Genomic DNA, 23,817 nt, shown 5'->3' with positions numbered 1-23,817 from the left:
CTCAGGTGATCCACCCACCTCAGCCTCCCAAAGTGCTGGGATTACATGCGTGAGCCACCACACTCAGCCTCTGGTGGAAGAAATTTCAAACCAGCAAAGTGTTCAAGATGTGGCCTGGCTGCTTCTAAAAGCCTACACTCATTTGCATAAACAAAGAAATGGCCTGAAACTAGAACTTATATTTAAAAAGGAAGCAGAGCATAAGAGTTTGAAGAACTTGCAGTCTGACCATGTGGTAGAAAAGAAAAACCCATTTTCTGGGAAGGAATTCAAGCTGGATACAGAAACTTGCATAAGTAAAAAAGAGACGAATGTTAATAGCCAAGACAATGGGGAAAATGCCTCCAGAGCATTTCAGCCACCTTTGTGACAGCCCTTCTCATCATAGACCTGGAGACCTAGGAGGTAAAAATGGTTTTGTGGGCCAGTCCCAGGGCTCTGCTGCTCTTCGCAGCCTTGGGACGTGGCACTCTGCAACCCAGCCACTCCAGCTTCAGCTGTGGCTAAAAGTACAGCTTGAGCCATTGCTTCAGAGGGTATAAACCACAAGCCTTGGCAGTTTTCACGTGGTGTTGGACCTACAGGTGTACAGAAGGCAAGAGTTGAAGTTTGGGAGCCTCTGCCTAGATTTCAGAGGATGTATGGAAACACCTGCGTATCCAGGCAGAAGTCTGCTGCAGGGGCAGAGCCCTCATGGTGAACCTCTACTAGGGAAGTGCAAAGGGGCAATGTGGGGTTGGAGCTCCCACACAGAGTCTCCCTTGGGTACTGCCTGGTGGAGCTGTGAGAAAAGGGCCACCATCCTCCAGACCCCTACAAGCAGTTTGCACTGTGCACCTGGAAAAGCCACAGGCACTCAACACCAGCCTGTGAATGCATCCACAGGGGCTGTACTCTGCAGAGCCACAGGAAAGAGCTGTCCAAGGCCTTGAGAGCCCACATCTTGCATCAATGTGGCTTGGATGTGGGACATGGAGTCAAAGGAGATTATATTGGAGCTTTATGATTTAATGACTGCTCTGCTGGGTTTTGGACTTGCATGGGGCCTGTAGCCCCTATGTTTTGGCCAATTTATGTCTTTTGGAATTGGATAATTTACCCAATTCCTGTATCCCCATTGTATCTTGGAAGTAACTAACTTGTTTTTTATTTTACAGGCTCATAGTTGGAAGAGACTTGCCTTGTCTCAGATGAGACTTTAGACTTGGACTTTTGAGTTAACGCTGGAATGAATTAAGATTCTGGAGGACTATTAGGAATGTATGATTAGTTTTCAAATGTGACAAGGACATAAGACATGGGCAGAGCCAGAGGCAGAATGATATGGTTTGGCTCGGTGTCCCCACCCAAGACTCATGTTGAATTACGATCTTCATTGTTGGAGGAGGAACCTGGTGAGAGGTGATTGGATCACAGGGGTGGATTTCCCTCTTGCTGTTCTCACAATAGTGAGTGTTCTCGTGATAGTGAGTGGATTCTCATGAGATCTGGTTGTTTAAAAGTATGTAGCACTTCCCCCTTTGCTCTCTCTTTTCTGCCACCAAGTGAAGACATGCTTGCTTCCCTTTCACCCTTCCACCATGATTGTAAGTTCCCTGAAGCCTCCTCTGCCATGCCTCCTACACAGTCTGTGGAACTGTAAGTCAATTAAACCTCTTTTCTTTAAAATTACCCAGTGTCAGGTAGTTCTTTATAGCAGTGAGAGAATGGACTAATACAAAGTGTTTTATTTATCTCAAGTGTATTTTGTTATTTGAAATTATGATAATTCCCCTTAAACCATGTTCTTACCAGGATAAGTAAAGGTTTGCAGTATTTGAATGCAGTATTTGTCTTTCTGCCCTTTAAATGAGATGGGGGGAGAGGGAGAGAAAGTGGGTGTCCTCATTGCAGCATGGGAATCTGAAAGAATTGGCTGGTGATAGAATCAGGAGTTGGAAAGGGTTGGGAGGTCACATAGGCTGGGCTTCTACCTGACACATGAATGTCCTTTTCAATACATCCATACGTGTTTCTCTGGTTTCTCCTATATGAGTCTAGGGACAGCCAATCCCTCATTGTTCGGTCTTGTAGGAGAGACTTTTTTATACTGAGCAGAGTCCACTGCCTGGCAATTTCCTTTTTGCTGCTAATTAGATCCTCTGGAAAAATGAGAGCAAGCTCAATACATTATCCACAGGATACTCTTAAAAGATAAGAATGCTTCTATAAAAGCTTTCTCATAAAAAGATGAGTCATTCTCATTTCATCCAAATATTTCATTTGGAGTGTTCTTTCTAAATTCCTCACTTTAGACACAATTCTTTAAGTTTTCTATGACACCTCCGAGGGTTGGCACATGGTGCTCACTTTTCATGAACATCCTGAGGAGCTTCTTTGCTTGGCTGGTTGCTTCTCTTCTTGAAGTCTTCCCCTATGGCTTCTTCCTTGCCTACGAGCTAGGACTGGGTACCCCTTCCCTGTGCTTTCCTCCTTCTACAGACCTCTTTAATACTTTGGCTCTAAACTCCAATGAATAACTTAAATAGATTAGACCAAATACAAAACTCCTTTTTCTAGGCTAATTATGCCTGAATAACTTCAAACTAAAGTGGGCCATAAGGTCTACTCCACTAGATTCTCTACCTTGGATGTGAACACTAGTGGGAAAGGAAGTGTCTGTTCAACACCCACCCACCAGTGCCAAGGAACAAGGCACATAAAAAGATAGCAAATTTGCCTCCAAAGTTCCATGCTGAGCTGAGTCCAAGACTGATTAATGTCTGCAGCCTGGCAGCACATGGGGAAAAGACAGTGTCCAAAGAAAGAAATAATGGGTTGATCTGCCCTTGGTCAATTTCCTAGTTTACTGTTGTGTCTGCTTGCTTGGGCAGAAGAAGAAGATAAAGAATTCATGGGGCTCTACCTATATCTTAAAGCTCTGTTGCTTAGGAAACATTGTCCCCCAGACCTGACCAACCAAAGCAGGACTTCTCCATCCTGCGGGGAGGGACAGAGTTCCTTTGTTGAGAGGACAATGTAGAGAATGGCACGGCATTGTAATTGTCTGCTTACCTGCTTTTCTCCCTCACTGACCTTGAGTTTCTTGAGGTAACTGAGTATTAAGCATTTTGGGAAAATAAATAAAATGCAATAAAAACTCTGTACTTTCAAAGAGCCAGTCCAGTAGTACCATTTAGTAGTACCATTTGTTAATGAATTACATCCTCATCATCCTCTAGTCTGTAGAGTAACTCTTAATATGTTGTACCTGGAATGAAATAAAACACTTCACTTGTAAAATACCCCACAGGGGAATTCTTTCTCCTGTTGTTCCCTGATCAGGTTACCCTGTATCCTTGTGAGGGTTTGTTCTCTGTGCTCAGAAGCTAGGCCAGCACTGACTGGCCTATTCGTAAATGATGATTTCTTGTGTGCATTGACACAGTGCAAGAATGAAGGCACCATTCTACACCAACAGACCTCACAATCATCCCCTCCATCAAACTTTCTTTTCTACCATAAACACTTTAAAATATAGTTTTAATGAAGCAGAACTATTTTAAATACCATAAAGTGTCATATGATAGCTTAATGTTATTTTTATGCAGCTTATACTGACTACTGTTTATTCAACTATTATATTTCATTTATTCCATCCATAATTATTGAATGACTATGATGAATTTGGCACATAAGATACCAGAAGAAAGAGCACCTAGCATAGAATTTGATGGATACTAAGTACTTAATAAATATTGCTTTAATGTTATAAAATTCAATTCTCAAAACAATAGTTTGAGGTAAGAATTATTATTATCATAATATAGACAACAAAATGAAAATTCAGTGGGTTTAAGTAATTTATTCCAAGTCACAAACTAGATAAACTCAGAGACTGAATTTTTGAGGTATGGCTCTGACTCCAATGCTCATTCTATTATACCACAACTGCCTTTCCCTTTCAGATAAGTGCAGATAGATAGTAGGCTACTGTCAGACCTTGAATGCTGGGCTAAGGGGACCTTGGACTGATGTATTCTTATTGGACTTCCTCCTTATTGGCTTAAACAGTATTTCTTATTCTTGCTTGAACTCAAGACTTACTTGAGACTTTCAATAAAAAATACCAATTATCTAACTCTTGTAGATTCTGATTCAGTGGATCTCAGGTTTGGCTTGGAATTCTGTATTCTTAATGGGCTCCCCCTAATAAGCTTCTTACCAGGAAAATTTGAAAAACACTAGGCCTAAAGACTTTCTAGCTTATTATAATACGGTTGCCATTTTTCTTGACTAAATTCACATATAATTAGACGTCACTAAAGGAAGGCACATTCTTGAATAAAAAGACCTTCTGCAAAAGTCCACGGAAGCAGCCCTGATTGTCAGTAGGATCTGGATCCATTGTGCTGCCCTGCTGCAGGTATACCTGCCTGTATTTCAGACCCTCTAGCCCACTTGACTCGAGGGATATTTGTGGTCGCTGTAATTCAGTAAATCTCAGAAGGTAGATGCACACTCTCCTTGAAGTACTGGCTTAGGAACATTTTCCATTGACAAGTACACCTGATGAGGTCTGACACAAGGATGAGGTATTGATGATGACTCACCAGAAGTTCGTTCTAGAAAGGGCACTTCTAAAGAGCTCTTCACAGTGAGGCTGCAGAGAGATGATAGACTTTGCAGTTGGGAAAAATGCAGAATAAGCAGATGTTCTCCTTTGAAGAGACTGACTTTTCTGACACATTTGTTTAAAATAGCTTTGTGTTTAATGTGTAAGAAATATCTGGCCAGGTGTGGTGGCTCACGCCTGTAATCCCAGAACTTTGGGAGGCCGAGGAGGGCGGATCACGAGGTCAGGAGATCGAGACCATCCTGTCTGACACGGTGAAACCCCGTCTCTACTAAATATACAAAAAATTAGCCGGGTGTGGTGGCAGTCGCCTGTAGTCCCAGCTACTGGGGAGGCTGAGGCAGGAGAATGGCATGAACCCGGGAGGCGGAGCTTGCAGCGAGTAGAGATCACGCCACTGCACTCCAGCTGGGGTGACAGAGCAAGACTCTGTCTCAAAAAAAAAAAAAAAAAAAAGAAAGAAAGAAAGAGAGAAATATCTTTGGGGAAAAAGTCATATAAAAGTCGTATGCCTAAATGAGGGGCAAAAGTAGAGTGTGTCTGAAACTCTTCTTTGTGACTTGTTCAACTGAGCCTGAGATGAGTAGAGGGCACTGCCTTTGCCCTTTGGCCAGCATATTGAAAAGAGGAAACAGCTCTTTTCATCTTACCTATAAATTCTTCCTTGAACTCCTTGAATGTTGTGGCTCAAGTTGCCATCAGCACTAGAAGTCAGTTCTATGAGTTAGTGTGATCCTTGTATGACAAGCAGGAAAGTGTTAATGTTTTTCTGCTGGCCTGAAGACAAGAGCTGCAGCCCAGTGCAGTCAATTTCTTGGCATGTCAGAAGATTGTTCAGGTAAAAAATAGAGAGATAGTGCCTGCTTGGGTTTGGAAACCATAAGTCTTTTAAAATCATGACTTATATAAATATGGCTTCTCCTACAGAAAGAAGAGGAAAATGTTTTGCTTTCTTCTCATGAAAACAAAATGATCTCCCGCATAGAGTCAGAATTTTGGCATTACATCTAGAAAGAAGATTAAAAGAAAAATAATAATTACTATAGTAAAAGATAAATAATGTTTGTAGTAGTAACGGCATTTTTGCAGTTAAGAATCCATTAAGTAAATTCAGAGTCTAAGCTCTCATAGTCAGTGAAGAGAGGCCACCTTTGATTCAAGAAGAGGACATCTTGTTCAGGAGAGAAGAGGATGGCATCAAAGATGTGAAGAATCAAAAGGAGGAGCAACTCTCTGGTTCCAGGTGTCCTTAGTTGGAGGGAGATTATAAACCCCCAGTGAGGATGCACTGTTGAGTAAACCAAGAAACACACCTACAGAATCCAGGTATAAATAACTGTGCGAACACAAATATGTTTTAAATTAACTGTTTTCTAACTACATACAGTCAGCCCTCCATATCTGCAGGTTCCATATCTGCAGGTTCCACATCTGCAGATTCAACAAACCACAGAGTGTAATGGAGCTGGGCCCAGCATAGTTTCATCTATACCAAACATGTACAGACTTTTTTCCTTGTCATTATTCCCTAAATAATATAGTGCAACAGCTATTTATACAGCATTTACATCGTATTAGGCATTACATATAACCCATAGATGATTTAAAGTATACAGGAAGATGTTCAGGTTATATGCAACCACTATACCAGTTTACGTAAGGAATTTGAGCATCACAGATTTTGGTATCCACAGAGGTCCTGGAACCCATCTCCCATGGATACTGAGGGATAACTGTATTTCTTTTCTTCATAATGTATTGATTCTTTTTAACTAATTTATTTGCTTCTAGTGTCTCTTCTATTTGAGACTATTTCTACAAGCAGAAAAACTCAAATCAGGGAGGAGGAATTAGCTAATCATGTGGGGATGACTATTGTGGAGTCCAGGTGGTCTTGGACATCCAGGCCACTTGTTCCATGAACCCACCCAGAAGTGGATGTAAACATGAACTATTCCTATATGGGAAGTAACAGAAGGCAAAAGATAACATTAGACTTTAAGTAAACTTTCTTATTCCTGGGCCTACACTTTTTTGCTTCATCAGATACATATAAACCTTATAATTTTTACACACAGTTGATATTGTTGCCTATATAAACTGAGATCGAGACATTATCTTTGCATCTTTTATGTTGCAAAGTAGGAATGTAATTGCTGTTTAATAAACATTTATCGAATAATGGTTAATTGTTGGGGGGAACCCTGTTTATCGTAGAATTGGGCCAAGTTGAAGTAGGATGCAAAACCTAAATTGAGCTCACTAGCATTAGAACATGCTGCTTTTGCTGTCTCATCTTTGAGGGATAAAATAACCCTACAAAGTTTTACATTTTTAGAGTCTTCCTCAAATAAGTTATATTTGTGGAGATCAACAGTCACTACAGATCTCCTCTGAAAAGACATCACCCAAATAGTCAGCAATTTCTCCTTCTGTGGATGGAGTCATACATAATGAATGTTCTCTGATGGCTGCAGGAGTTGTGCAGCTATAATTAATGTTATAGAACCCAGTGGAGTTCATTTAATCAAGTCTGTAATGGTGGTATTGACTGTAAAATGTAATGATGTGGTACTAAACATAGTTGATTTGAGATTGGAGTGGGAGTGTTCAAAGACATGTTTGATACCATTTGTAGCCTAAAATATTGTTAAGGACAAAAGCACAAAGAGTTGGGACAATGGAAAACCACCTTGTTTTCATTTTGAAGTGGATTTCAACTATTTCTGATTTGGAAAAAAAAAATTTAAACCACTGTTCAAAACCTGTTTGCTCTCAACATAAACAGGGAAATTTTATGTTCTGAAGAGTTAAAAATAAACTTGAATCTTCAGGGGCTCATGTGAAATTAGAAAAACAAGCTCTTATAAAATTTTTCTACCTGACATTACTGGACGTGTAGTCATAAAATGAAAATAAATGACTGGATATGGTTATAAGAATTGAGATGAGTGCATGCATCATGTGGAGAGGAGAGGAAAAGGAAATAATTCTCATAAATTGATCAGAAGACTTAAGAAACATGTTGGAATTTCTCCAGCAATAAGATAAAGAGCAAAACAAAATATTTTTTAAAAAGGCAGCACATGCTTGCTGTAGATGTAATGGGAAAAAATATATGGTGTGTTAGTTCAGGAGTCAAGATAAAAGTCTTCAGTCTGGTGCTGGTGCCCATTTGAACTTCTAGGAGTAAATGACCTTGGCAGAAGTTGTGATCAATAAACTGGATCTCTGCAGAAAGAGAATGCTGGGACTAAAATCAAGATAATAGAATGAGAGGCATGGAACAAAATGACTCAATACATTGCAACGTAAAGCAGTTATCTGCAAATATTAGTGTATGAAATAGATAGCTTGGAAAGTTTCATTAAAGGAAAGAAAAAATTGGGGAAATAATATCAGCATGGAATGTGATAGTTTATTTCCATGTTATTAAAGGATGCTTATAGCCTTAAATCCAAGTTCATTAATAAATAAAATTGCACAAGCATTTGCAAAGGCTAGAAAAGAATTGGGAGGAATAAAGAGCTTAGACATAAGATTTCCCCATCTTTTCAAGCCAAAATTCCTCCAGTAAAAAAGCTTTCTTCATTTAGAGTATCCTGACTTAGAATAAAGATGAATGTCCCTCTTTTCTTTCCTCTATTCTTTGAAATAGCCAAACATCCAAAATCACTCATTCAGGTCCCATATATGTTTATATTGGAAAAAATAATACTTTCTAAAGCAAAAGTGGGATCTTATGCCTTGATTAGTTTATAAATAAGTATTCACATTACTGAGCCAGATACAGCTGAGGAGTCATAGGGCAAGAGAAGCAGCTGCACACCCATCTTCTGGAGACTTCCTGGTATTGCCTAATTTTGTGTGTCTGTGTGTGAGTTTAATTTTTTTTTTTTGCTTATTTTTATTTATATGACATCAAAGTCACATGCAAATGTGCAAATGTAACCTATATATTTGAAATGGCCAGAGAGTGTAACAGCCACTGATAAAAATTGGATTTTCCATTAAAAGACACATGCTGAACAAAGACACATGAAGGGTCTAAGAAAATGTAAAATCTGTAACTGCAGCAATGACAAGAAAGAAAGGGGAGGCAGGTGGAGGTAAAGCCAGGAACTGCAGCCATGACTAGATGTCTCAGAGCACCTAGATGGAGTTCTGTTTTGAGTAGGTAGCAAAGTAAAATTCACAGATTGAAAGCAAAGAGGATAGAAGAGGACAGAGGCCAAGTGATCTCAACTATCATTTGGGGAGAAGCCATGGGTGGATAATCTGCATTTCTAGGACGTATATTTAGATTTTTAAAGAAGCGTTGGCCCCTTGGTGAGAAACAGAGCACTGACGAGATATACTCCAGAATATTCCAGATTTTCATGAAGAAGCAACTGCATATTCACACACTGATGAGTGCATACCCAGACATCTTGAATGTGAGTTAATGCCTAGAAATAGCTTTTAATCTCACTTGTAGCACCTGGAAACAATTCTCAAAATTTGTATACTCTCAAACATCATAGTTTTTTTTAAATTACACCCTTGGGTTTTTTTGTTTGCTTGTTTGTTTGTTTGTTTGTTTAGCAAACATGTGAGCTTAATTTTCCCTTGTTTTTATTCTTATTTTATACATTCCTCAAAACTGGTAAAAGCAAAAGGGGTGACTTGATCTTGTAGTTCTAGCAATTTCCCACAGCTAAACCTTCTAAAGTATGATTGAATTACAATACACAGAATAGACTGTGGCTTAATCCTCATGGTTCCCAAATGCTCTATGTGCAGTAAGATCTATTTTTATCAATTTAGCAGTATTGCCCCTATTATTTATTAAGCACTGACTACACAGAGCTATAAAACTGAATGAAGATGTCAAAGCTCTGCCCTGTGGTTTTATAATCTACTCATAAAAGGTGAACTATTTAACAAAGTGAAAACCATGATGTAACTGCTTGAGGTCATTCATGACCTCCTCTTGGGTCATGGAGATAAACAAAATTAGCATATAGCTTCTTTGGAAAATAACCGGGTTACTATTCACAGCACTCTAATTCAGATATCTCAGTTCTTAATTCTATTAGCCCCAAGGAAAAACCAGAAGCAGAAGTTATTACCCAATAAGCCATGTTCTTTATAAGAAACATGGAATGTATAAGTCAATAATTATGAAGCACATGACTACCTAGTCATACTCACCTAGTCACACTCACAAAAATGTGTGTGGAGGGGACCTGATTGGAAATCTGCACTATTCACACACTAACCCAGATGCACACTCACTGTGCCCCCCAACCCTGATAATAGTAGATGCAAATATTGACTATGATGAGAATGAACAGATATTTTCTTAGAGTCACTCCGGGGCAGAGATACTTTGGGCAAAGTTCTGGTGTATCCTGATCCTCTCAGGATAAGGATGGTAACAAAAATACGGGACCAGGTGCAGTGGCTCAGACCTGTAATCCCAGAACTTTGGAAGGCTAAGGCAGGAGGATTGCTTGAGGCCAAGACTAGCCTGGGAAACATAGTGAGACCCTGTCCCTACAAAAAAAAAATTAAATTAGCAGGGCATGGTGGTGTGCACCTGTGGTCCCAGCTGCTCACAGGAAAGGCAATATAAATCAGCAGAAACATAAATGCTTTTCCAGAACTGTTTTTCCATTTATGAATCTCATTTGATCTTCACAACTTACTATAAGTGATAAGTAGTCAGGTTTCCTAGGAACCTCCTCGATCATAACTAAACATGACAGTTTTTCTAGCCTCTGTTTTCAGCCATGCTATGTCAAATTGTCCCAGCTTATCACTCAGTATCATCTTAGGAAGTCTTTATTTTTTAAAAGTTTTTATTTTGCAGTTTAAGGTTTGCAAGAAAATTGCACAGAAAGAATGAAGTTCCTGTATGTCCTCTACTCCCCTACACACTTGTCTCCATTATTAACATCTTACATTAGTATGGTACATTTGTTACAAGTAGATCCTACTATTTTTATTTTTTCTTTGTTTGTATTTAAAAATAGAAATGAGGTCTCACATGTTGCCTAGGCTGGTCTCAAACTCCTAAGCTCAAGCGATCCTCCAGCCTTGGGCTCCCAAAGTGCTAGGATTACAGGCGTGAGACACCACACTCTGCCAGATTTTTCATTTTTTTATATCACTTTCTCTCATTCATCTTTGCCTTACCTTATACTTGTCAGAGTCTTTTCTCCCTAAGGCTAGTGACCCTAAGGCTCATGAGACTCCAGAAAAACTATAATATATAATATGTAATATATGATATATAGCATAGTGGTTAAGAGGGTGGGCTCTGCAACTAGGCTGCCTGGGTTTGTATTCCAGCTCGCCTCTCACTGCCTGTGACCTTGGTCAAGTTATCTATGGTTTCTACATCTATAAAATGGAGATAATAATACTACTACCTCATAGAATTGTATCAAATGGGTACCTGCACACTCATTTGATACAACTGCACATAGTAAACTCAATAGCTTTTTGTTTTTTTAATTATTATTATAATTATTACTACTACTATTAATCTATTACTCATTTCTCAAGATCCCTCCCTGCTAATCTGGCCCCCAGGTCAAACATCAAGCCTTCAGTGACAGAGAAACAAAAAAGCTCACAACCGGCAATGGCCCAGAATTCAGATCAAGATGCACTCAAGACTTTTAGTTAAGTTTGGGCTCAAGGGGCCTTAGACGGTGTTGGGAGGAGTTTGAGAGCCACAGACAACTGGCCATACAAAGATGTCTCCTCGGGCAGATGCATGATAGGCCAGGGTACTCATTCACCCTGTTCTACTCCACACCAAACCCAGCTCCATTGCCTTTCTGCTCCCATCATTTTTTACAGCGTGGAGCTCTCTGGAAACAAAAGCGTTACGAGTAAGTGAGCTCTTCTAGGGGACTGGTGTGACTGAGGTCCTCTCAGCAGTCATTTGCCATGTCTTACAGGAGCATTGGCAAGATGGGAGTTCTCTCTTCAGACTCCATCTGAGGAAATCAAAACTGTCCTGCCGCAATGGCATGAAGGCTGGGAGTTGCTTCACAATCATCAAGTGTATGTGCATGTAGTGAGGGATGGGCAAGTAGATAAAGGCCAATATAAAACAAGATCATTGATAATTTTTGAAGTTGGGTAGTAGATACTTGCACATTGGGGTTTGCCTTACTATTTCCTCCATTTATTGCATGCTTGAAAGTGTTCATAATGAAACAGTAAAAAGTAAAATAAAACAAAGCCAAATTTTCTTGTCTAATGGATCTTTAAGAATTGAGAGCAAGATCCTCTTTTGTATTGTCCATGACTGAGTCCCTGGAACTCCACAGTTCCCCACAGAGAGTGGAGCTCAGTAAATAGACACTGACTGAATGAATGTCACAGTATAGAGGTCAGAGACAGAGTCAGTAAGCAGAAAGAGCAAGGAAGAGGAATGCACATGAGTATGTATCTACATGCACACACACACACACACACACACACACATAAACATGCTCTGGCATCAGGGATAAACAATGATGAAAAACACAGGCTCATGTCGCTTCTGCTGCTGCTGCATGTCTTTTTCTCGTGACCTCTTCAACCATTTGCCCATTTGATCAAGAGGCTCAGAGCAGAGCAGGATCCATGGAGAGAAGGATGCAGTTATAGGAATATACTCCAGGAATGAAATTACCAAGTTAGTCTTCTGCTTACAAGGCCAGGAGAAGATTGGAATTCAGGCCTGGCTGTGCTCCCAGTCCTGTATTTTGTTCATTAGACTTTCTTTCCTCTATTGAACATCGATCAAGCCCTTCTATTGATTACCTCCTGCATCACTTCAGGCTTCATTTGGAGATGAGTTGCATAATTCAGTGGCCAGACAACAGGCTGGCCAGCTAGTCTCCAGTATTGACTCAGATTCAAAAATTGCAAGAGAAAACATTTACCTAAGGGCTTATCTGAAAGAGCTGCTATGAGACTTACTAACTTAACATTTGTGAAGGTTTTTAAATACAAAGAAAATTGAAGTATGAAGTCTTGTTTTTACTAACCCAAGTTTGCTACAGGTTTGTGATTTTCTGGTTTGTTCTGGTGTGCTTTGGGAACAGGATGTTCTTGATGTCTAGTTTATATCTCTGCTTTTGTACTAGAGAAGACAATAATAGTATATATGTATCTCCATAAAAGTTAGTGTAAAATTGAAGAAATAGCTCCACAGCAAGGACATTCATTTCTACATGAAAATATAAATAAGCGGCCTCAAAAAATAGCAATATTGAGAAAAGAAAGAAGAAAGATGGAGATCACCCAGAAGATGGTGTTGCCTTTATCTTGTAAATATATACTAAGTATCTCTGACTGGGGACATTGCAGAGGGATAAGGTAAATTATACTTAAAGAGTATAATACAAATAAGAGTACCAAACATTACTCTTAACAAAATATGTAGGAATAGAGATGAAGAATGAGAGTCACAACCGCTATTTTGTTAAAGTATCTGATTACCCCATGCTAGGAGCTGCTAAGTGCTGGCATCTATATAATTTAATCTTCACAAGAGCTCTATGAGTTAATATGTTATTATTTCTATTTCACCACTGAAAAACTTACTGGCTGGGGACAGTGACTCCTGCCTATAATCCCAGTACTTTGGGAGGCCAAGGTGAGAGGATCATTTGAGGCAAGAAGTTTGAGAGACCAGCCGAGGCAACATAGAGAGACCCCATTTCTGGAAGGAAGGGAAGGGAAGGGGAGGGAAGGGGAGGGAAGGGGAGGGAAGGGGAGGGAATGGGAGGGAATGGAAGGGAAGGGGAGGAAAGGGGAGGGAAGGGGAGGGGAGGGAAGGGGAGGGGAGGGGAGGGAGTTGCTTTGATAATATTAAGCATCTTTCCCAAGATAATACCTAGTAGGTAATAGAGTTAGAATTCAAGCTCAGATCTCCAAAGTCCACACTTTAAACTGTTATACTACCTTGACTCCTGTGTTCTAGAGTACATTGATTAGGAGAATAGACATAGAAGAATCATCTTAAAAGAAAAAGCCCAATAGCACTAAAAGGCAGGAGAATGTGCAGGCTTCCCAGGAGCCACTCTGGGGAGGGTGTGTGGGCCCCTCCAGGGCTGGTGAGGTGAGCCAGGCAGCTGCCAGCACAACAGCCCCACCAGGATCCATGCAGGGTATGTTTCAGGCCTTCCCAGAGACTGAGGAAGGGCTAACGGTCTAGAGTTGTGGTGAGGAAGCAGAGTAGAACCAACAAAAAGAAATGAAGACTTATGGAAAGTTGTGCCAGATGCCAAAAAAGATCAGATGGTATTTTAAATGTTGAAAATCCATTCAATCTTCTATATTCAATATCCAATCACATTTATGATTTGCCTCAACTTCAGAGTTGAATACAACAAGCTTTATTGAGTACCTCTATATCCAAAGTACTAACCTAAGTATAATAGGGTTATATTGTTTTCATTTTTTTAATGAGACTTCCAAATTGTTTAAGAAAACAAGTATATATAATATATACATATAACATACATATTATATATATAAAATAATTTCACTGTAGGATAAAATATGATACATTATATAACAAATGTTCAAAAGATTTTGCAAATATGGAAAGGGGAGCTTAAATTCTACTGGGAGAATCTATGAGGAAGGAGGGTGATTTCAGCTGAGACATGAAGAATGTGTCGGACTTTGGGAGTCATAGTATGAGAAGGCATTCTAAGTAAAGAAAACAGGTTGAGCAATGGCTTAGCATCCCTTGACTGAAGGCTACATTTGGGAAATGGTGAGTGGATGATTGTGACTGAAGTTGGGTATATAGAGGCATATCCTGAGAATTAAGCATGAAAAGAAAAAGAAGTGCCAAATTGTAAAGCGCTTTAAATGCCAGGCTGAGGAGTTTGGTGATCTCAATCAATCGAGTCAATTGACTCTGAAATAATAGATTGCTACAGATGCAGTTACTAGACAAAGGTTACCCCTCAGCTCCACTGCCACCATATAGGTCAGAGGGGTCTGAGGGTGAGTTCTGCTATGCCTCAGAACACAAATCAATCAACTCCTCCTCCCACTGCTTCTTTAAGAACCTAACAGTGGGTCAACCCATGGCTGGACCTAAGCCCTACTCTCCAGAGATGGAACATGACTCTGAATGGCCTCCTTGAAGGAGATACAGGCTGCATGCCTGAGCATTCCTGTAATAGCCATTGATTTGGGCTCACTCAATCCTGGAGGAATCCAAACCAGCCAGTGCCACCTAGACTTTCTTAATTGAGACTCTTCTTTCAGTAATAAAATAATTTTCTTCAATGTTCATTGCTCCCTTCTTTAAATTTCCTCTCCTAGACCATACATAACACCTCCATCTCTCTGCACTCCTTCTATGTATTAAATTGTCACATCTGCTTTCCCTGCCAGAATGCTGTAGTTTCTACTTCTAGGCACACTCATCTCTCAGTAACAGCAATATTTTTCTGATACTTGCCTCTTTGCCAGAGAGTTAGGAATACCCTTGCGAGTGGTAACCAAGAAGACATTCCTAAAGTATCTAGTCATTTGTCACAATTTAGAATCTTGAGAAATTCTGTTCAGATTCTAAGAGTGAGAAAATTCAAATATCACAGAGAGGATATCAGAGATGCTAGAGTACCAGGCCTCAAGATTTGACGGGAAATCTGTAAGACTCAGCTGTCTCTTAGAAATCTGTGCACTCTCTGCACCTAAGAAGGTGACATGAGCAATAGAAACTGTATGCCTACATATATGCCTATGTAACAAACCTGTACAATCTGCACGTGTATCCCAGAACTTAAAGTGAAATTAAAAAAAAAAAACACCTAAGGCCTGAAACTATAAAAATTCTAGAAGATAACACTGGAGAAACCCTTCTAGACATTGGAATAGGCAAGGATTTCGTAACTGAGAACCCAAAAGCAAATGCAATAAAAACAACAGCACAATTCACATTTGCAAAATCATGGAACCAACCCAAATGCCCATTAATCAATGAGTGGATAAAGAAACTGTGAGATAGATATATATATCATATATAGATATAGATATAGATATCATATATCTAGATATATCATATATATCTAGATAGATATATCATATATATCTAGATAGATATATCATATATATCTAGATAGATATATCATATATATCTAGATAGATATATCATATATATCTAGATAGATATATCATATATCTCTAGATAGATATATCATATATCTCTAGATATATATATGATGGAATACTACTCAGCCATAAAAAGGAATAAATTAACAGCATTTGCAGAGACCTGGATGAGATTGGAGACTGCTGTTCTAAGTGAAGTAACTCAGTAATGGAAAACCAAACATTGTTATGTTCTCACTGATATGTGGGAGCTAAGCTATGAGGACACAAAAGCATAAAAATGATACAATGGGCTTTGGGGACTTGTAGGGAAGAGTGGGAGGCAGATGAGGGATAAAAGACTACAAATATGATGGAATGTATCCTGCTTGGGTGATGGGTGCACCAAAATCTCACAAATCACCACTAAAGAACTTACATAACCAAACACCACCTGTACCCCAATAACTTATGGAAAAATAAAATTAAATTAAAATTAAAAATATATATGAAATAAAATTAAAAAATAAAAAGACAAAAAAAAAAAAAGAAAACTGTATGCCTAAGAGACTGATTGATTAGCCACTCCCCCCAGGAAGGCAAAGAGAGTAGTCAAAAGATTAGAGACAAACATGTTTAGTCGGGGTCACAGAAAGGAAGCATCAGGCTGCCATCCAAAGCCCAGGACATTACTTTGTACAAGGAGGCTCCTCACAGAGAGGACAGGCAACTTCAGAAATGCTTAGCAATCACTCCCATGGGTCCCATGGACCTGGAACAACCCCAGGGGAGCTTTCACAGTACAGTATTTCTTTCATTATCTATCTTCAACAGTACTTGATAAGAAAAATTAAGTCACTCAGTGGAGGCTGAATGAAGGACACAATGACATTTAAATCCTTCAGCCCTGGGCAGGTCCAAGCTTCTTTGCCAGGAAAGTGTGAGCCAAACAGCTAGAGTTTCCTGGGAATAAGATTATTTCCTCAAAAGGCCTTCTTTCCTTAGGTGAAAAGCTCTTTAGTATGCATGCCACAAACAAACCCCATTCTCCACTTGGGTCTAGAGAAACCTGCAGAGCTACTCATACTAATGCAGAAGCCTAAAGCCATTAGAAGAGATTCATATTCAACTCCGTAGAAATGATGCTTGTTGTTTGACATAAAACTATCAAAAAACATCTTTCCATCTATTATGTTGTCATAAAAATATTACTTTAATAAAGCTCTTTACCCCAGAGATATAAAATATAAGGCAAAAAATGAATTTGATTTTATAAAAATTAAAGATTTTTGCTCAACAAAAGATGTCACGGTCAAAGTTAACAGAGTCATGACAAATTTGGAAAAGATATTTGCATTATCTAAAACTGACAAGAGACTCCAGCAATCAACATGAAAAAGACAGGAATCTCAATAGAGAATAGGCAAAGAAAAGTTAATTTACAGAAGATGCATCATGAAAAGTCAATATCTAAAGAGAAGCATTAGTAAAAACATGTAAATTAAAGCAATAATGGGAGATCACTTTATACCCATAGGACAAGCAAAAAGTAGAGAGCTGGATAATGCTGTGCTGGCAGAAATACAGGGATGGAGGAGCCCTCATCACTGCTGGGGAGAAGGAAGACTTGAAAGCCATTCTGGTGAGGAATTGGCTGCAGTTGATTAAAATAACTGTATAATTTTGCCCTTTTAACCTATTAATTTTAATCCTGGATATATATGCTACCCCAAATTATCGTACACCTCTGTAAAGGGACAAGTACCAGGATGTTTGCCACAACACCACTTTTGGAGCAGGATATCAAAGGCAATCCAAGTGTCCAACACTGAGGAGTAGATAGATCAAATAAAATGGATGCACCCCATAGTAGACTATGCACAGAGGAAAAAAAAGATGATGTTAGTAGAAAGAAGAAGATCTCTGTCGCAGTACAATGTAAATTAAAAAATAATGCACACAAAATATGACACACATTTTACAAAATATAAAAGCAAAGGGATCACACCAAACATGCACTTGGTCACATATGGAAGAGTGGGTAAAATAGGAATAGGAAATCGGGATGAAAACGAACAAGCAACATTAAAAAGTTCCTTGTTCTCATAAAAAGAGCTAGTTTTTATAAAGAACTCTGTATGCTTGGAATTTTTACAAGAGAACATTCTGAAAATCTAGTCAAAAAGGGCAGTGAGATGGAAGGAAATAGAGCAGTCTTGTTTCTTTTAATTCAACGACTTTCAGGTTATTGACTGTAATACAAATCAAGTCAGAACTGGTAAGCTTTGACATCCTTGATGTTTCTGAAAATCAAAGTAAAAAGAGCCTTTTCTTGCCATTTTCTCATTTACTCAAACATTATTAAGTGTCCCTTACATGTCTTCAGGTCTATGTGGGATGCTCCTCTTTTGGCTGCTACCTCGTGAAGCCTCAACACTGACAGAGAAATCCAAGAGCTGCCTGGCCCCCACTGCAAGGCTCATAGCCTGGGCCCTGCAACTTATGCCCAAAGTAGAAATCTGAGGAGTACGCTCCGCAAACACCTTCCCTTATCCCTGCTTATTCTCAGCACAGTTCAGCATTATATGTCTCCCATGAAGCTCTTAGAAATACTCCGAGAATCTGCTGATTTCTTAAACACAGCAGAATTTTTTCTCCCATGGTGCTGGAATAACATGTGCTAGGATACTGGAGAATGAGGAAGCCACTTCTTTTTCAGCCCTTTTTCTTCTCCCTTCCCTAAACTCATCCTAGATGAAGAAAAACATAGTTTGAAAAAGCAGATATATGTCAGAATCAAGCAGGAGGGAAGAGTCTTTCTCTCCTTTCTGCATCCCAGAGCGCTCCTGAGCCTAAAGAACTAAGAAAAAGGAAAGAAGAAAAGACAGCAGGGTATTATCCCACCCCCAAAGGCTATCTACTCTGTAGTAAACTTTTGCCTATTTAATCGTTTATGAAACTTTAAACTCAGGAAAGAAAATTCGATTTATACTTAAATCTTCTCCGTAAGCACTACTCAGTCATCCCTGTTTAATGGAGTTCATTAGCTGGTGTTCAGTTCTATGTAGGATTCCTCTTTCCATCGAGAAACAGAAATTGAGTGTAGTAATTACAATTGAGAGCTAAGTTAAGAAATGTAGATGTATGCTTGAAGTGAAATATTTTATTGTGCTGGTCAGTGGTACATGAATTATTCAATAAGTAAAACATAAATATCATATAGGCTAGCAAAAAAAAAAGAGCACATGAAGATTAATTTTAGAAATGGATATTTTAGCCCAAATTCAAACCTCTTCTTAATTTCCTCAATAGAAAATTAGTTCTCCATAAGAATCTCATTCCTGATAAATTATGTTTTGTGTGCTGCCCAAGATTTCCAATGATACATATTTTATAATCTTAGGTAGGAAACTGAAGGACTTAGGGGCACAGATAAAGTTCACCTCTCGTCTAGTTTTAAGTCATGGCTTTGGAAGAAAAAGATATGTCAGAAATGAAGGGCTAAGCTAAAAATATAGTCATAAGATGAGGATTTGGTCGTCTGGAACTGACCTATTAGAACGAGGGTCTCAGGATCAGATTCTTCAGAAACCTCTATACTGAAAGGGCAAAAGGAGAAAAAGAAGCCACAGCGAAGGAGCCCCAAGAGATGTACAGGAAGAGTTAAGAGAGTATATCATCTCAGGCGTCAAGGCATTGCAAGGAGTAGGAAGTCAAAGGGGGCAGACAGGCATCAGGGAATGAAAAATTAGAAAATTACACTGAATTCAACAGCTTGGGGGTCACTTTAAGAGAGTAGCCTCTGTAGAGTAAGACACAGAGCTGAAGGGATGGAGGATAACGTGCAGAGTGGGAAGCTGATGATTTATGAGTGTTAATACTGTAATTTCACCTCTCAGGAGGTAGAAGAGACAATGATGATGACAGTAAGAGTAACCACCACTTAGTGGGTACTTGCTGTGGACCAATAACTGTGCTAATTGTTTAATGCTTATTATATACTCATTAATTCAATAAATATTTATTAAGGACCCTTGCCTCCAACAATATCCCAAATTCATCCACTTTTCATCATGCCCGCTGTGGCCACACAAGTCTAAATTCCCTGTTTTGCAGTAGTTGAAATTTTCAGTTCCAACTTCTACAAAAGCCTCCATTGCCTCCACCCCATCCTCTCAGTGCATTATCTACAACAGCAGCCAAAGTGTTTAAACTAAATTAGATCAAATCAAAACCCCTCCAATGACTTCAATTTCATTGACATAAAACCCAAACTTCTTCAAAGCCCTGTGTGCTCTGGCCCCAACTTTTCTCTCCAACCCCATCTCCTACTAGTCTCTTTTCTTTTTCCCAATGCTCTAACCACACTGGCCTTCTTGTCACTTCTTGAACGTACCAAATTTATTCCTGCAGATAAAATATTTAGAAGTCAGGGTAAATAAGCAGAGACAGATGCCATGAATGGTACTAAGAAGGCCACAATCCAGAATGATTTCAAGATTTTTTTGACATTCCTTTCCCTAAGGTGGTATTGAAATGTGATGGTTAAGATGTCGGCTTCTGACACTGGGTAATCTGGATCCAAATTCTGGCTCTACTACTCATTGGCCATCTGATGTTGGTAACCTACTTAACCTCTCTAAGCCTCAGTTTGAAATAACAAAACCTCTTTAAAGAAAATAATGGGAGGTGTCTATTATTTTACTCAGAATATTAAATTAGAGAATGCAAATAAAACACTTTGCATATATGCCTTGCTATAAATATTAGCAATAGCATATTTAATGTTATTTAGCCTGAATAATTACATTTAATAAATACTTATTGAGCACAGTTTTGCACTCTATGCTGAACTCTGGGAAAAGGATATTTGCCCTCATGGAGCTTATAGTTTGTATTTTTTATGGGGGAGGGATTTTTAAATATTATATGCAATAGAAAAAGAAAAATAAGTTCATGATCTGTTCTCTGATGTAGAAAGATGTTATAATGTTCACAGATATTAGAGGAAAAAACTGAACTCAGTTTGATTTATCAAGAAGCACAATCAATTTTCAAAGGGCAGAAAATTAATTGAGAAGCTTACTTGATGTTCAAAACCCAATCATCCCTTGAAGACTACTATGTGACAGGCACACAGTACAGAGACGACCAAGAAAAAAGGAGCTCTACTTAAGAAGTTCAAAACATAAGGAGAAAAATAAAAAAATTGTTGCAATGCAATGTGTCCAGCCAGTGCTGTAACAGAGGAAACAAAGGGTAGTATAGGAACCCTGAGGAAGGAGCTTGAGCTGAGTCTTGAAGGACACAGAAGGGCTTCATCAAATGAGCAAGCAGAGTGGGTTCCCAGCAGAGGGACATGTGGCAAGAGTTTGACAAATTGATACTTAGAGGTGAAGATTAAAATATTTAACAGCCATTATGCGGTGGGTGCCAACTGACACTAGCATTCAATAGGCAATACAGTTGCACCAGTACTATTACACAAATGTGAGCCACATGCTTGGAGTTGATGGGGCTACCGGAAAGAGCCACACTCAGTTGTTTGAGCTTTCCCAAGCTAAGTCTCAGACATCTAAGAGACGAGCCCATCTCTACTACTTCCTCTATGAATTCGTAATCCACAGAATCAGTCAGCACACACACACACACACACACACACGCACACACAAATAGTGCAGTTTTATGCCACCAGCTTTAGGGTAGTTTGCTATGCAGCAACTATAACTGAAACACACCACATAACAGACTGGAACACAGCAGAATAACACAACAAAATGGACATGTCCTCAACATAATCTAAGAATACCAGGCAGATTTTAAGCTGTGGAGAGGGTAGGATGAGCTGAGAATATGAAATTTTTTAAGGAACATATGATGAGAAATGAGAAATTACATTTCCCCATGTTAAGAAAAATATGGATCAATTATGAGTTTAATGGCATGCCAATAAAGGGATGAGGAATTAGAAAATGAAAAGTGTGCCTTGAAAAAAGAATTATTGCATAAAAAGGAGAAACAGTATGAGGGAAAAGAGCTAAATGACTCAAAAGATATCATAGTGTTTGGGAACTCTGCTGGCAGCTTCTAACCTTGTGAAGACTAACTTCCTAGTTAATATCTGTGCAAATTAAGTGATGAAATTCAGTTAAACTGGTCTATTTTTGATAATGTGTTTACAATGATTTTTTTTAAGTCTAGCAACTCTCTACTACTTCAGGTAAATAAAAATCAAATTTCATTTTATTAAAGGAAGACTTCTACAATTATAGCAGCAAATACTTTGAGACTTGTCAAAATTATGCTGGCATAAGCACACTTCCAATGAACAATAAAAGAAAAAGCTGTTGGAAAAGAAAGTTTATAAACTGCTCATGAGGGAAAGTTTTTTTGAAAATTTTTTCACAGTGGTCTTCTTTAACAGTAGAGAAGAACATTCTAGTACCCCAAACTCCTCTAAGTGACAATATTTTCTATGTCTATTTGCTATCTAAAGGACAGTCTAGGGATAAAATTCTTCATCATTGCTTTGAACCAACTAAAAAGTTTCACATTTTGTGAGTTCAATAGGATTGAGAAAATGTCCAAAAATAGGTGTTTATATTTCCAGCATAGCTTATTTCCCCATAAAATGATAGAATAGATTCTTAGCTCAGCCACAATATAGCTTTCCATCTCCCTCTCACTATGACTTGAAAAACTCAATTATCTCAATGTCTGATATGGTCTGGGTCAGTTCTGTAATTACAGCTAAACTCAAAGTTCTAGCAGGTTCTGCAAACAAACACTGATAATTCTAAGGGTAAGGTTAAAGCTTTATTTCTTACTTTTAAAAAATATATATCCCCTATTTGGCTGCTGGAAGATGAAAAATATGGCAAAGACAGGTATTTAAAGGACCATACAATAACCACAAAAATTAAAAACAATTATTTTAATGACCTGGTGCCCCTGTTCTAGAGTCCACTGATTCTTGTAACTCTTATGTTCCACCAAAATCTACTCTATTCATTAACTTTTTGAGGAAATTGCTCTCATTCAATAGGGTTACCAAATAAAACACAAATATTGCATGGGACATACTTATACTAAAAAAATTATTCTTTATTTATCTGAAATTCTTACATAAATATGCATCCTGTAGTTTTGTTTTCTAGGTTCAGCAAGTACATGGAATATTACTGGAAGGACTCTTGTCCTTTCCCAGGAACCCTTCCCCTCCCTCCTGGGGATATCTAGGATTTTGACACTAATCTTGTTACCGCAGAGCTATACTAGAAGTTCAAACAAACAAAATCTATGTTACTCACATATAAAACCTTCAGTGTCCAGGTTTCATAGAGACAGGGATGTTTCCGGAGCTGTCTAGGTGTTTAACTCCTCCCTTCCCACTCACCCACACAGACACACACAAACACACACACACACACACACACACACACACACACACATAACACACAGAGGTAATAAGCTAATGTTCACCTCATTTTCCCCTCCAACAAGACAGAGTAGATCTTGTAAGCAGGAAGAAAAGCTGCTTCTATATGTCCCAGCACAATGGCCCTCCTGTGAGCACCATACAGGCTCCTTGGCCTGCACCATCATTGTCTGCTTTATTGGTTGCTTCCACTTGATAGGCCATGTCATTGTATCATTGAACATCCACATAAATAGACTCATGTTTATGCTGTAATTAAAAGGGAACAGTTTGGGTTACTGGAACAAGTCTCTCCTTGTCGCAGTTTTTTGCACACCAGCTAGAGAAGATCTCTGATCTACGCTGGGTCATTTTTCTCCTACTTAGTCCACCAAATCCCCAGCTGCTGGCTCAGGCCCACCCGTTGATTAGTACTGTCCTGTATGATACTCTTGTTGCGGTTAAAAGGAATTAACAGTCCTCTAGTCTAAACCCCGTGTTTGACAAACAGGGCTCTTGAAGTCCAGAGAGGTGATGTAACACATGGCGACCACGGAGATATTTAGCAGCCTGTACTGGACAAGGTCCCAGGTCTTCCAGCCATTCAGTGTTCTTTCCAGCACCACCCTGTGCCTCCCTCAACAACATACCTTTATCTAAGGCAGAACTGACAAAGTCGAGT

General features: G+C 38.9%; 1 long non-coding RNA gene across 1 annotated transcript, besides 1 other annotated feature; it reads right to left on the bottom strand.

Moving 5' to 3' along the window:
* Positions 1-3,903: 3,903 nt before the first annotated feature.
* LOC105369788 (uncharacterized) lies at positions 3,904-23,273 on the bottom strand. The gene is made up of 4 exons (XR_945006.2): positions 23,201-23,273; positions 5,765-5,903; positions 5,266-5,622; positions 3,904-4,642 (listed from the first exon to the last, which is right to left on the bottom strand). It is a non-coding gene; the product is annotated as an uncharacterized LOC105369788 (long non-coding RNA).
* Positions 4,629-5,828: an enhancer, noted in NCBI's record as "BRD4-independent group 4 enhancer chr12:58855785-58856984 (GRCh37/hg19 assembly coordinates)". NCBI's record gives its function as "activates an origin of replication core promoter dependent on BRD2, P300/CBP, MED14 and CDK7 cofactors, and independent of BRD4, by STARR-seq in HCT116 cells {active_cell/tissue: HCT116}" and the evidence as "EXISTENCE:reporter gene assay evidence [ECO:0000049][PMID:35650434]".
* Positions 23,274-23,817: the final 544 nt, after the last annotated feature.

This window comes from Homo sapiens, chromosome 12 (genome assembly GCF_000001405.40).
Source record: "Homo sapiens chromosome 12, GRCh38.p14 Primary Assembly".
Lineage (NCBI taxonomy): Eukaryota > Metazoa > Chordata > Mammalia > Primates > Hominidae > Homo > Homo sapiens.
The sequence above is the reverse complement of the archived record's forward strand: the minus strand, read 5'-3'. Positions and strand labels throughout refer to the sequence as shown.